Here is a 16,328-nt window from a genome sequence, read left to right on the forward strand (position 1 = left end):
TCTTATTAAAGAGATAACAGAAAAGAAAATTGAACATGACAGTTCCACTTTTGTGGCAATTATTAGTGAAAAAAATGTTGAATGTAAAACTTTCCATTCTTCTTGTTGGAAATTTAAATCTGATTTTCTAATGATAGCTTTTTTATGAAATCATACTTTGGGTAATCTCCAAGATGAAATAGAAGAGTCTTACAAATTAATTGCTATTGTCATCATTAGTGACTTCAAATAATATGTAAAATGGCTCCTTTAATGTAATATATTTAAAAAATGATATTCTGTTAGTATACATAAATTATTGGTACTATGAGAAAAAGAGCAACTATACATTTTAAAAAATATTGTATTTTTTAAACAAAATACTACTTTTAACCTAATAATAAAATCTAGGAATATTAACTGAATAATTATTCTTTTTATAGGCAATAGGAAATAGTCAATAATCATTTTTGGTTGAGAAAGTAAAAAAAAAAACTAAAGATAATACATTAAGCTATTATTTTTTATTTCATTGAAGTATAGTATACATACTAAAAATTGCATATTGTAACTGTTTGAGGTAATGTGTTTTCAAAGAGTGAACAAATCCATGTAATCAGCACATAGATCATGAAAAGGAAATTGCCAGCATTTCTCAACCCTCTCCTACATCCATGTAGTCACCACTTGAGTAAGGACAATCACTCTCTGAAGTCTAAAATGATATATTACCCTTGCCTATTTTTAATTATATATAATGCTGTCATAAAGCCAGTATACTTTAATATCTGGTATCATTTCTTCAACATGACTGTGAGCTTTATTAATGGTATTGTTGATAATTTTGATTTTCAAATTCTCAATTCTGTATACTATCACATTTCATTAATTTACCATAAATTAATTTTCCATACAGCTTCCGATAGATGTTTGAGTCAATTTAAATATTTGGTTTCTGAATAGTGGTGCAATTAAGATTTTTGTGTATGGGGTTTAAATAATATATACACACAGTTTTGTTGGGTTAATATTGCTAAACATTTTTCTTGAGTTACTGTACTATTTTTCACTCTTTTCTTCAATGTGGAATTACAGTTGTTCAACATTTTCTTTCACAGTTGATGTTAATTTCTTTTTATCTATTTACTAGAGGCTTTAGTAGCCATATACTGACATCACAAGCAAATTTAAATTACACTTTCATAAAGACTAATAAAGTTGGATATTCTTGTTTGTAAAATATCTCTTCAGGGTTCTTTTTGCCAAATTTTCTATTGATTTTCTACATTTTTGTTACTGATTTGAAACATTCTTTATATTCTGTACATAATTATTTTCCAAACAAGGAACAGACAACTGTGAGGAAACTCATCAAGTTTCACTGAAGGGGAAAAGCCAGAAATTTCTAAATGCCAGAGAGAAAGATACATGTGGTTTTGATAAACAAGTACAGAAACTAGCACACTGGAGAGCTGCTTAGACAGGTGATAGAGGCAGAACTCCAGGCAGTGCAAAGCCTAGAGGGTTTGGTGCAAGAGGGCCTGTAGTGGAACACAGCCTGGGATATCCACCCCAAGGTTTGCCATAATTCCCTAGGAGATTTTAGCCTTAGGAGAATTGTCAAAGCTGAACAGAGCAAGGGCTGTCTTTTCCATGAGAGATCTGGTCTGACCTGAGCATCCCTTTGTCTGCTGGCCTCTCATGGGGCCCCAGCCAGGTCAAACTTGCTTTCAGTGTAGCCTTGGGTGCCCAGCAAGGGGGCTTCCTGGGGGCCTGCATCATAGCTCCTGCAGTGGAAGACTACACCTCACCATCAGAAAGCCCCAGCAAAATGGCACTTGCCAATGTACACCAGCTCACCAGCACCTTCCCCACACCACAGCCTCCTATGTGCTGCTTTGCAAGCATGCAATCACCCATGGCCACCCCCCACATTGCTTGACCAGCACACATGCACATAGGTAGACCTTGCCTCCATGTCCTTGCTGGTGCATGTGTGCATGTGCCTCCTCACTGTGCCAATGCTGCTGGCATCAGTGCTCCCCACTGTGATGCCATTGTCAATGTGAAAGTGCACCAGGAGACCAATAGCTCTGCCCCCCCTGCCCTGTGCCACCATTGCTACCCATGTGATCACATGCACGGAGACCACCAGTCCCATGCCCACTGGTTTCCTGCTTCCACACAGACACTATTGGCCCCATCTCTTCACCCTTCGTGCCATGCCACCATTGCTGCCACTGTAAACACCCACAAGAGGGCTGGCACCCTATGCCTGCCAGCAACCCCCGTCAGCTGACAAGTGTGCACCAGACTGCACTGCTACTGCTACTGGCAAATGTAAATGAGCACTGATTTTGTTGCCACTACCAGACAAAGCACTTTGGCTAGCCCCACCCATCAGAGTGTTGTGACCAACAGAGAACACCTTGACCTCTGTAGAATAGCAGGTTCCCAACATCAAGGTGCCAGAGAACAAATCAGGGGGCCTAATATTAGCCCCCCAGATTTAGAGCACACAGCACAGGAATCCAGAGCTGAGCCTTGACCCCCTAAAATCTTCCAGAAACAAAGCCAGCCAACTAAACCTACTTTATTCAGTGATCAAACCCCCAAGGACATCAAAGAAGATAAAAGAAACAACAACAAAAAAATAAAATTTATCCATTAAACATCAACTTCAAAGATTGAAGGGATATCAGCCTACAAATATGAGAAAGCATCAGCACAAGAACTCTGGCAACTTGAAAATCCAGCGTGTCTCCTAACCTCCCAAAGACTATACTAGCTCCCCAGTAATGGTTCTTAGTAAGACTGAAATGGCTGAAATAACAGAAATAAAATACAGAATATGGATAGGAATGAAGATCATTGAGATTCAGTAGAAAGTTGAAACCTAATTCAAAGATTTTAAGGAATACAATAAAACACTACAGGATATGAAGGACAAAATGGCTACTTTAAGAAAAAACAAACATCTCATAGAGCTGAAAAACTGACTTCAATAATTTCAGAATACAATCAAAAGTATTATAAGCACAATCGACCAAGCTGAAAGAATTTCAGAGCTTGAACACTGGCTATTCAAAATGACTCAATAAAGACAAAATAAAGAAAAAAAAATAAAGAAGGAAAAACAAAACCTCCAAGAAATATGGAATTATGTAAAGAGACCAAATCTATGACTCAATGATGTCCCTGAAAGAGAAGGACAGAAACCAAGCAACCTGAAAAACATATTTCAGTATATCATCTATGAAAATTTCCCCAACCTCCCTAGGGAGGTCAACATTCACATTTAGGAAATACAGAGGACCCTTGCAAAATGCTGCACAAAAAAAATCATCAACAAGACATATAGTAATCAGATTCTCCAAGGTCAAATAAAGAAACACGTTAAAAGCAGCTAGATAGAAGGGGCAAGTTACCTACAAAGGCAATCCCATCAGCCTAACAGCAGATCTTTCAGCAGAAATCTTATAGGCCAGAAGAGATTGGGGCTTATATTCACCATTCTGAAGGAAAATAATTTCCATCTATGAATTTCATGTCCAAGCAAGCTGAAATTCATAAGTGAAGGAGAAATAAGAGGCTTTATGAACAACCAAATGCTGAGGGATTTTTTTTTTTTTTTACCACCAGACTTGCCTTAGAAGAGGTCCTGAAGGGAGTGCTAAATATGGAAAGGAAAGACTCTTAGTGGCCATTACAAAAACATACTTAAATGCATGGATCTTTGACACTGTAAAGCAGCCACACAAAGAAGTCTGCATAATAACCTGCTAGCAACATTATGACAGGATCAAATCTTCACATATCAATACTAACTTTGAATGTAAATAAGCTAAATGCCCCAATTAAAAGGCACAGAGCAGCAAGCTGCATGAAGAAGCAAGACCTAATGGTATGCTGTCTTCAAGGGAGACATCTCACATGCAGTGATGCCCATAGGATCAAAGTAAAAGGATGGAGAAAAATCTAGCAAGAATATAGAAAAAAGAAGATAGAAAAAGATTGCAGTTATAGTTTCAGACAAAACAGATTTTAAAACAAGAAAGATGAAAAAAGACAAAGAAGGGCATTTCATTATGGTAAAGGGTCACATCAACAAGAAGACCTAACTAATCCTAAATGTATACAAACCAAACACAGGAGCAACCAGATTCATAAAGCAAGTTCTTAGAGACCTACTAAGAGATTTAGATAACCACACAAAGATAGTGTGAGACTTTAACATCTCACTGACAGTATTAGACAGATTATTGAGGCAGAAAACTAACAAATGTATACGGGACCTGAATTCAACATGTGACCAAATATACTTAATAGACATCTATAGAACTCTCCACCTCAAAACAACAGAATGTATATTATTCTCATCTGCACATGGCACATACTCTAAAATTGACTACACAATTAAGCAAAAAACAATCCTGTGCAAAATATATATAAAAAAATAAAGCATGAGATTATACCAACCATACTCTCAGACCACAACACAATAAAAATAAAAATAAGTGCTTAGAGAATCATGCAAAACCATAGAATTGCATAGACATTATTATGTAACATGCAGTTGAGAGTTAAGGACAAACTTTCAGTGTTAGAGTATACTTATGTCAGAAAAAAAAAATAGAAAAAGTGTAATTCCCTAAAGCTACATTAAGCAACATTTTTTAAAAAGTAAAAGAAAACTCTTAACAATGCCTCTCAGGCTGCCTTAACTGACATAGTAGAGATGTAATAAAATGTTCCTGAAAGCTAAGAGAAGCTAAATGACTATAATAAAAATACAGTAGACAGCATATTATACTAATCAAAAAGATTAAATGCACTGCTTTTAGAAAAATACCACTTTGAGAAAATAATTTATACATCTCGATTGACAACAAAATAACTGTATAAATTGCTAATAATATACAAGCCATTAATCATGAAGAAGGTAATGATGGTGGTTAATATTTCCCAAGCACTTTGTGCTATTAGTTTTTTAGATTATTCATTTACTTTTCACAATAACTTATGAGATCATTATTATTATACCTATTTTACAGATGAAGAAACTGAGACACAGAGGAGTTAAGTCATTTTTCCACGGTCACAAAGCTAGTAAGTGACAGTTGCAGAAATCAAATCTAGGAAATCTGGCTCTGGAACTCCTGCTCTTTATCAGTATACTTAAATTACTCTTTGGAGACTGAGGTGGCTGATATTGAAGAGTAAAACAAAGCTGCATTTCTTTTTCTTTCTTTCTTTTTTTTTTTTTTTGAGACAGAGTCTTGCTCTGTTGCCCAGGCTGGAGGGCAGTGGTATAATCTCGGCTCACTGCAGCCTCCGCCTCCCAGGTTCAAGGGATTCTCCTGCCTCAGCCTCCTGAGTAGCTGGGACTACAGGTGTGCACCACCATGCCTGGCTGATTTTTGTATATTTTTAGTAGAGACGGGGTTTCACCGTCTTGGCCAGGATGATCTCAATCTCTTGATCTCGTGATCTGCCTGCCTCGGCCTCCCAAAGTGCTGGGATTACAGGCGTGAGCCACTGTGCCCGGCCTTCTTTTTAAAAAACAAGTTTGATAATACTGCTCAATTTCAAAATAATAAGAAATCTAACGTTGCCATGGAATTCCAACAAATAAATAATATATAATTTTCACTCTCCATTTGATGGGATAATTTGCTGATGGGACAATTTACTATGCAAATTGTCTACAAAATAAAATTATGCAAGCTAAAAAAGAAGAAATTACATAACCTGCTCCTGTATGACTTCTGGGTAAATAATAAAATTATAATTACAATCAATAATGTTTTTGAAACAATGAAAACAAAGATACAACATATCAGAATCTCTGGAACACAGCTAAGGCTGTGTTAAAAGGTAAGTTTATAGCACGAAATACACACATCAAAAAGTTAGAAAGAATTCAAATTAACAACCTAAAATCACAATCAGAGGAAATAGAGAAACAAGTACAAACCAACCCTATAGCTAGCAGAAAACAAGAAATAAGCAAAACTAGCACTGAACTGAAGGAAATTGAGATGCAGAAAACCATATTAAGATCAAATAATCCAGAAGCTGGTTGTTTGAAAGAATGAATAAGATTGATAGACTGCTAGATAGACCAATAAAGAAAAAAAGGGAGAAGATCCATATAAACATAATCGGAAATGACAAAGAGGACATTACCATTAACCCCCAGTAAATACAAAAAAAAATCAGGGATAACTATGAACACCTCTGTGCACACGAGCCAGAAAACCTAGAAGAAATGAAAAAAATTCCTGGAAATATACAACCTACTAAGATTGGACTAGGAAGAATTAAATCCTTAATAATGAGTTCCAAAATTGAATCAGTAATAAAAAGCCTACCAACAAGAATAAACCCCTACCAACCAGAATGAAGCCCCAGACAAGATGCATAGCTGAATTCTACCAGATGTATAAAGAAGAGCTGGTACTTTTCCTACTGAAAGTATTTCAAAAAATTGAAGAGGAAGGTCTCCTCACTAACTAATTCTATGAGGCCAACATCATCCTAATAGTTTAATGTGGCAGAGGTACAACAAACAAAAGAAAACTTCAGGCCAATATCCTTGATAAACATAGATGCAAACATATTCAATAAAATACTTGCAAACTGAATACAGCAGCACAACAAAAAGCTAATCCACCATGAACAAGTAGGCTCTATCCCTGGGATGAAAGATTTGTTCAACATACGCAAATCAATAAATGTGATTCATTACAAAAAGGGAACTAAAAACAAAAACCACACGATTATTTCAATAGATGCCAAAAAGGCTTTCAATAAAATTCAACATACCTTCATGTTAAAGGAACATACCTCAAAATAATAAGGACCATATATAACAAACCTACAGCCAACATCATACTGAATGGGCAAATGCTTAAAGAATTCCTCTCAAAAACCAGAACAAGACAAGTGTGTCCTCTCTTATCACTCCTATCCAACATAGTACTGGAAATTCTAGCCGGAGGAATCAAGCAAGAGAAGGAAATAAAATGCATCCAAATGGGAAGAAGGGAATGAAACTATCTCCGTTTGCAGATAATATAATTCCATACTTAGAAAATCTTACTGTCTCTGCCCAAAAGCTCCTTGATCTGAAAGGTAACTTCAGCAATGTTTTAGGATACAAAATCAATGTACAAAAATTAGTAGCATTCCTATACACCAACAACATCCAAGCTCAGAGTCGTCAGGAATGCAATCTCATTCACAATAACCATAAAAAGAATAAAATACTTAGGAATACAGCTAACCATGGAAGTAAATGTTCTCTACAACAATAATTACAAAACACTACTGAAAGAAATCAGAGAAGACTCAACAAATAAAAAGACTTTCCATGCTTATGGTTAGGAATAATAAGTATTGTACCATACTGCTCAAAGCAATTTACAGATTCAATGTTATTCCTATCAAACTGCCAATTACATTCTTCACAGAACTAGAAATTTAAAAAAGAATTTCAGGTGTAAAAAAAAAAAAGCCTGAATAGCCAATTCAAATTTAAGCAAAAGAAAGAAAGTTGGAGGAGTCACATTACTTTACTTCAAACTACACTATAAGGTTTCAATAATCAGAACAGTATGGTACTGGTAGATAAATAGACACATAGACCAATGGAACAGAATACAGAGCCGAGAAATAATGCTGCACACATACAACCATCTGATATTCAGCAAACCTGACACAAACAAGCAATGGGGAAAGGACTTCCTATTTACTAAATGGTACTGAGATAACTGTCTAGCCAAGTGCAGAAGATTGATACAGAACCCCCTTCCTTTCATTATATACAAAAATCAACTCAAGGTGGATTAAAGACTTAAATGTAAAACTTAAAACTATAAAAACCCTGGAAAATTACCTAAGAAATACAACTCTGGACACAGAACCTGGAAAATATTTCATAATGAAGAAGACAAAAGCAATTGCAACAAAAACAAAAATTGACAAATGAGACCTAATTAAAGAGTTTCTGCAGAGAAGAAGAAACTCTCAGCAGAAGAAACAGACAATCTACATAATGGGAGAAAATATTTGCAAACTATGTTTTTGACAAAGGTCTAATATCCAGAATCTATAAGGAATTTAAACAAATTAACAAGCAAGAAACAAACCTCCCCATTGAAAAAGAGGCAAAGGACACAAAAGGACATTTTTCTAAAGAAAACACACATGCAGCCAACAAGCATATGAAAAAATCCTCAACATCACTAACCATTAGGTAAATGCAAATCAAAACCACACTGAGATACCATCTCACACCAGTCAGAGTGGCTATTATTAAAAAGTCAAAAAGTAACAGATGCTGGCAAGGCTGTGGAGAACAGGGAATGATTATACATTGCTGGTGGAAATGTAAATTTGTTCAGTAACTGTGGAAATCAGTTTGGTGATTTCTGAAAGAACTTAAAACAAAACTTCCCATTGGGTATTGTGCTTATTACCTGGGCTACCCAATAATCTGTATACCAAGCCCCTGTCACAAACAATTTACCTATACAACAAACTTGCACATGTACCCCTGAACCTAAAATAAAAGTGAAAAATATATAAGTAAAAATTAAAATGAAGATAAAAAATAAAATAAAATTTGTATTACCATTAAAAAAAGAATTAAAGGAAACTGAAAATAGGATCAGTCTAAGAAGCATGATTAGTTAGAATGATGTGTCTGTGACATTTAAGTGTGAGTCAAGGCTCAGGGATTGAGCTATCTTCCATACACTAGAATTATATAATAATATGGTTTTGTGATATAATCATTTATAGCATTATGTTATAGTATTATAGCACATCATAATATAGCATGATATTAATAATGTAGGCTGCAAGGCTCGTGAAGTTGAAATTTAATGCCAGAACAGGATATTTTTTATGTAACAATGAGTCAAAAGTGTAAAGTGGCATCAAATAAAGGGGAAAACACTTTGTTCCAGGAGACACTACATTTTGGTTTCTCTATTTCTTCATTTATTCAATAAACATGCCACGTTTCTTTCTTTCTTCATAAGCAACTATTTGGGCCATAATAGATTGGAATGCTGAAACAATAAAATATGCCCAACACTAAAAAAAGAATGAAATATCTTGAAATACAGCTAACTAAAGTGCCATTTTTACATTTTTATCAAATCGTACCAAAGATATAGACGATCTCCATTATTTTTTATTTTATTTATTTTTTTTGAGAGGGAGTCTCCCTCTGTCGCCCAGGCTGGAGCGCAGTGGCGCGATCTCCGTTCTCTGCAAGCTCCGCCTCCCGGGTTCAAGCCATTCTCCTGCCTCAGACTCCCGAGTAGCTGGGACTACAGGCTCCCGCCACAACACCTGGCTAATTTTTTGCATTTTTAGTAGAGACGGGGTTTCACCATGTAAGCCAGGATGGTCTCGATCTCCTGACCTCGTGATCCTCCCGCTTCGGCCTCCCAAAGTGCTGGGATTGCAGGCCTGAGGATCTCCATGATTTTTGAGTTTTGATGCTAACGTTGATCACTTGTCTGAAGTGCTGTTTGCCAGTTTTCCTGCTGTACTGTAAAGGTGTTCTTTGTTGTTGTGTTCCATCTAGTACTGTTTGAAAGGAAGTCACTATGTGCATGGCAAATTTAAGGGGTGGGAATTATGCTCTCCCTCATGTAGGATGGAATATCTACATAAATTATTTGGAATTTTTTGTATAGAAGAGTTATCTCTTCTTCATTTTAAAATGTATTTAGTCATTTATTGTTATTAGTATGGACTCATGGATATCTTACCAGATTAAGAATGTTTGACATAATTCCATAGTAAACTTTTAATATCAACAGAGTTGTACTGTTTTTAGAAATCAAATTTATATGCACTTATCTTATAAGTATTTGAATGATAGTATATTTGTTCTGTGCTAATATACATATTTAACTACAGACATTTGAGCTAATAATATACAGAGGTAATCAATGGGTAATATTTTAAAAACTTAAGTGAAAATAATTTAGTCTTCTGAAAACATTTGTTATCTTTGTGCTTTTGTCTATATGCAAATGTGTTAGCTCTTCATAACATTTAAATTAAGGGGCAAATAGGTGTAAGAAACAGGCATTGTCATAAATATATTTTCAAGATTATATTTATAATTTTCTAAATGGTATCTACTATTATTTAGTGTGTACTATTATTAGTGACTTCATAAAAGTTTATAATTAAACTATATGCATATTAAAATGTATTTCAGTTTGTTTTCATAAAAGAGGGAAGTTTATCGGTAACAGAGTAGAGAAGACTGTTAGCACATTACAAAATGTTATTTGGATTAAAAAGAGAAGCTAAATTTTCTAATATCTGTGCATTTATTTGACATTGCAAGTGGATTGTAGGACCCTCTATGCATGCACTATCCATAAAGTCTTCTAAGTGTTTACAAAAGAGTTACATAAGCCCTCATCTTATGCACTACACTCCCAATAGAGGTGTCTATGCTTTTCCGTTTTCATATTGTTATTTACAAAAACATATTAACTGAATCATTCAGTCTTGTCATCATCTGCTGATTTTTGCTCTTCTCTAACACTAGCCTGAATTTTCCTGCTGTACATTAAAAGCCACAGATCAGATATTCTAGAAGAAACATCAGGAAGTATAGTTTTTCATATTTTATTTTGTGATAAGTATATGATGAAGGTCCTTTTCCTTTCTTTGTTATTCTGGTTTCAACTGTGCTTTTATAATGGGTCAGGCTTAGAAAAACCACCATTGTCCTTTGATAAATGCCATTGAATTAAATTTTTAAAATTCTAACAGCAACAGATTTGTGAAAAATCAAACCAAATTTGCAGATAGTGTCACTGCTAGAGTTTATATTGATTCTAATGAAAGTATTATTTATACCTGAATTTATATCTATGTATAGGTGACCTTGTTTGCAAAACTACTCAGATGGTTGCCAGATATTTTATAGTTATTTTGTTTTTATGTAGATACAACTACTCACATAGGTGAATATAAATCAGCTCTCCTTCACACCAGGGTCTAATTACATAAAACCACGTGGGTAAAACTGAAGATGACTAAAGCATAATAGTCAAAGAAAAGTCTTATTTAATTAAGTATTTTAAAGTCCCTGTTTTATGTATGAAAAAAACAGTGTCTATAAAGTCCTGTCCCTCAAACTTGTACCTGTTTTGTTCTGAGTGTGTATGTGTGTGTGTGTGTGTGTGTGTGTATATATCATCTTCAATTGTCTCAGATACATATGTCATAATGTAAATTAAGTCATAATGTAAACACTACCATATATATAGATATATATACACACACGTTGAGACAATTGAAGGAATCCAAAATCCATTTCTGAAGTTTTATAAAATATCTCCAGAAGATAAAGTTACTTTTCTGTCTTTGGTATGTTTAACATTTACATATGACCCTTGATATTTATTTTGAACATCAATAAAAAATTATTTGTTTCATTAATAAAATTTATTATACCTACACTGTATAATCTATACATATTTTTAAATAACAAATATAGCAATATATATGCTAGAAAAGCCTAAGTATAAATAAAAATTTTCCTGAAACTAAGTCATTCTCACAGTGATAAGAATTTGCCTGGATAATCTGCATTAATAAAGCAAGAAGCTTAAAGAATAATATCAGTTCATCAACAAATTTTGTTTAGTGTGTGTTGTTTTATAAATAAGTCTAATTTCCACAAATACAGGAAATGTTAATATAGATTGACTCAAATTCAATTCATGACACCAGCGCAAAATGCATACATACCTTTCTTTACAAAAACAAATTTATCTGCATTAAGAGAGGAACTTTAGATATACAAAAAGATGCTCAACATTATTAATTATTGGGCATATACAAATCAGTTCCACTAACGATATCATTTCACACCCATTAGAATGGCTATTATCAAAAAGTCAAAAGATAAATGTTGAGAAGTGTGTGGAGAAAAGGGAAGTCTTGTACACTGTTGATGGGAATGTAAATTGATACAGTCATCATAGAAACAGTATAAAGGTTTCTACAGAAACTAGAATTATCATATGACCTGGCAATCCCTCTCGTAAACATATAGTCAAAGGAAATAAAATTATCACGTCCTAAAGGTATCTATACTCCTATCTTTATTTCAAAATTATTCACAATAGCCAAGATATGAAAACAACCTAAGTCAGTCGATAGGTTAATGGATGAAGAAATTGTGGTGCATGTGCACAATGAAATATTATTCAGCCCTGAGAAAGAATGAGATGTCCTTTTTCACAACATGGATGGGCCTGGAGGACATCATGCTAACTGAAATAAGACAGACACAAAACGAGAAATCTTGCATGATCTCTCTTATAGGAGGAATATAAAACAAAAATGAAAAATATACAGACGGTTTCTGGCTTATGATGGTTTGACTTACAATTTTTTGACTTTATATAGGTGCAAAAGTGATAGATATTTAGTAGAAATTTTTTAGTAGAAATTTAGTAGAAATTTTATTTAAAATTTTGCATGTTGATATTTTCTGGGCTAACAATATACAGTACAATAAGACTGGCTGTGCAGTGGCTGGGCATGGCTGTGATGCTGGGCAGTGGTAGTGAGCCACGGCTCCGTTAGTCCTATGATCATGAGGCTAAATATCAGGTACTGTACTCTGCCATATACTGTATTCAATAAATTATATGAGATATCAAACAGTTAATTATAAAATAGCCTTTCTGAAGGATGACTTTGCCCAACTGTAGGCTAAAATAAGTGTTCTGAGCAGGTGCAAGGTAGGCTAAGCCGAGCGCAGATGTTTGGTAGGTTAACAGTATTAAATGTATTTTCACTTTAGGATTTTTTTAATTTATGATGGCTTTATCAAGGCTTAACCCCATGAGAAGCTGAGGAGCATCTGTCCAGAGATAGAAAACAAAACAGTGGTTACCAGGAAAGAGGAGTTACAATAGAAGGAAATGAGATGTGGTTCATAGGATACAAAGTAGCAGATATGTAGGATGAACAATTCTAGAGTTCTAATGGTACAACATGACGACTATAGGGAATAAAACTGTACCGTATTTGAGATCTATGCTAAATGAGTAGATGTAGCTGCCCTTGACTCAAAACCAAAACCAAAATAATTGGTAACTATGTGAGATGATGGATACGTTAATTTGCTTGAGTACGGTAAAGCTTTTACTATATATACATGTATGTATTTCATAACATCATGTTGTTTACCTTAAATATACACAGCGAACGTTATTTGAAAAATAAAAATTAAAAGAGGGACTTCAAAAATTGTTCCAGTCTTAAAATGGGATATAACTTTGTGGTCTAATGTGATTAGCTGATCCTCTGGGAACAAAATTAACATTCCTGAAATGATGCTTGAGCAATTTCCTGATGGACTCTAATGAGCGTGCTAGACCTTCTTGGAAATTCATTCAAAGAAAGTCCATTTTGCCAAGATCCTTTAAAGACCTTTAACCAGTCTTGCAAGGAATCTAATGACCTTTAAGCGATGTGTTTTGTTCTTATTGCAGCCTAAAAATTGATATGTAACATTTTTTACTACCACGATCAACAACTGCCAAAAGGGGATCTTTTTCGGTTAGCTTTTACATAAAGCCTCTACTTCTAGCAAACTTGAAATAAAATTGATTCATGATCAAAATTAACTAAGACTTGGTAATCTTTAATTATTACATGTGTCACCATTATTGACAATTATTTTAAGTATCTAAATCTTTTGCCTGCATATGTTTTATAATATTATTCCAAATTGTTATTTGCTTTCAAACTTTATTATTTCCCAATTTATAACACTTTATTTCTTTGATTTAAAGCAATTTAGATTTCTAAATCATGAGGTCCCTGTTATGGTTATAAAAATAAAAATAACATTTTTTTCACCAAATTCAGTTAATATAGACTGCTAAAAAAAACAAAAAAAATGCAAATGAGCAACAAGAACAAATGAACTAACAAGAACAAATAAAACACAACTTCCCCGTCTAAGGCCAGATGACAAATCACAGCATATCTTGTTTTTTCCATTAAGTAGTGCATCTACTCCGTTAATGAGATAAAGGCTTTACAGATAATAATTATGACTACCAAGATAATATAAATAAACAATATCACATGTTCTTCAAACAAGATGATATAAACTACCCCCAAAGTCACTCACCACAATTATGAGCAAAATAAACATTTTTGAGTGATGTTCAAAATCAGAATAAACAAAACTTTTCAGTTGGTATTTTAAAACAGAACATTAATTACAAATCAATTTTAAAGAAAGCAGAAAAAGAAAAAAGTGACAAAAAGAAAGAGAGAAAGGAAACAAATATTTTGAAATGTTAATATATTAGGTAGGCTAAAATAATTTATAGTTGCAAACTGTTGAAACTATCACAAAATGCTACAAATAAATTTCTTCTAAATGAAAATATTTTACCTTTTAGAAAATATCTGTAAGAAATGATTTTCTATAATGAATATTAAAAGGATACATTTTATGATTATGTGACACTATGCAATAAATTTGATTTCTTAGTACAGTAATACTATACTATATTACTCTATGGTAATAATATAGAGTTACATATTTCTGTGAAAAAATAAATATTTGTGCTGTGTTATTCAAAGATAGAGAAATGTTTGTCTTCCTCATATCAATTTAGCAATACTTTCTTCTACTGCTCCCTTCTTGCACTCTCTCTCTCGCTCTGCTTTTATTTTGCAACTTATTTCTTGTATTTATCTCTTCTTCCCTTTGCCAAAGACACCCCTCTTTTTAGGAAAAATCTTTAAAGACCTTTATTGGATTTCTAAGGAATCTACTGATTTCTTATCAAACGTTTTGTTTGTTTGTTTTGCTCCAGGTTAACAGTTGATTGTAGTCATCTTTTCACCTATAGTTTTGTTTTCTCTCTTTTCTATTATGCTTCTTCCTTTTTTTCACTCTCCTCCTGTTCAAATACCTTATGAAATTGTATTGTCTCTTATACCAAATACAATTCTATTCTATCTGCTGAGCATGATTGTATGAAGTTTGGAATTTTGAGCTTTTGATATTGTGGTAGTCTTTACATTATGATTTAACTTATTTTGTATCTATAGACTAGGTGTTAATTTTTATAGTAATGTTATCATCTACAAATAAAATAATGACCGTTTCCTAAAACTTATTTGTGTAACTGCCTATTTGCATTCATCATCTAGACCTTCCAGATGAATGCAGTAATGATGTAGTTGAACAGACGCTCTTAACTCTGGGAGGCCGAGGCGGGCAGATCACCTGAGGTCAGGAGTTCGAGACCAGCCTGAACAACAAGGTTAAACCCTGTCTTTATCAAAAATACAAAAATTAGCCAGGCATGGTGGCGGGCGCCTGTAATCCCAGCTTGAACCCGGGAGGTGAAGGTTGCAGTGAGCCAAGATCACACCACTGCATTCCAGTTTGGGTGACAGAGCAAGACTCCATCTAAAAAAAAAGAAAAAAGAAAAAAGAAAAGAACAGACACTCTTACAAAATTCCTGAAATTTTACTAAATTAAAGGCACTCTTTCAGCTGCCCCCAGGGTTTTAAAAAATCTACTTTTCTCAGAACTTTGGCCTTTGAAGGAAGACAGTTTCCCTTGTAGAAGGGGTCAAGTGTGAGCCTCAAAGTTAGACAACGACACTGAGAATTGTCTCCATCTATGGTTGTTAAGAAGAGACCAGAATGGTCACACAAAATTCTTCTCCAGAACTTACAGCTTTCTATCACCATTTGTGTTGAAGACCAACCATTGTAATTTTATTACATGTTTTATACCTGCTTCTTCCTTCACCCAAGAAGGATTAAACTCCCTTCATTTGCTCCAATCTGGTCACTATGCAGTCAACATAATCTCTTTTCTGTCCTTTCTCTTTTTACCTACTTCTAAAATCTTTCCTTTCAGTCCTTAGAAACCAGTGATTGTCAGAAAAATAATGTAACCAGGCAACTTCTCTTAACATTGATATTCTTCCTCAAAACGTGTCTTTCTCTGGAGTCGCTTTACCCCCTGTAAGCCTTATGCAGTAGATATATTTTCTTCTCCCTCCCACATTGCCATTGGAGTTTAGGAGAGATAAGTACTCTAGATTTTACATAGCCACCACCTGGGGTACCTTAAAAACAATAATGACCTCTAAATTCTAATTTCATCAGAATCACTAGGGATGAGATTTACACATTCGTATTTATTAAACTATCCAAAAGATTCCCCTGTGTAGCTACGTTTGAGAGCTACTGCCTAGGTTCTCACTACCATTTGAAATTTATTCTCATTCTCCTTCCTCTAAAC

General features: G+C 34.2%; 2 annotated features.

Moving 5' to 3' along the window:
- Positions 1,429–1,930: an enhancer, noted in NCBI's record as "H3K4me1 hESC enhancer chr4:161606709-161607210 (GRCh37/hg19 assembly coordinates)". NCBI's record gives its function as "activates a minimal SCP1, AML or CMV promoter by ChIP-STARR-seq in primed H9 embryonic stem cells {active_cell/tissue: H9 hESC(primed)}" and the evidence as "EXISTENCE:reporter gene assay evidence [ECO:0000049][PMID:30033119]".
- Positions 1,931–2,430: an enhancer, noted in NCBI's record as "H3K4me1 hESC enhancer chr4:161607211-161607710 (GRCh37/hg19 assembly coordinates)". NCBI's record gives its function as "activates a minimal SCP1, AML or CMV promoter by ChIP-STARR-seq in primed H9 embryonic stem cells {active_cell/tissue: H9 hESC(primed)}" and the evidence as "EXISTENCE:reporter gene assay evidence [ECO:0000049][PMID:30033119]".

The sequence above is a fragment of the Homo sapiens genome, chromosome 4, assembly GCF_000001405.40.
Source record: "Homo sapiens chromosome 4, GRCh38.p14 Primary Assembly".
NCBI classification, from domain to species: domain Eukaryota; kingdom Metazoa; phylum Chordata; class Mammalia; order Primates; family Hominidae; genus Homo; species Homo sapiens.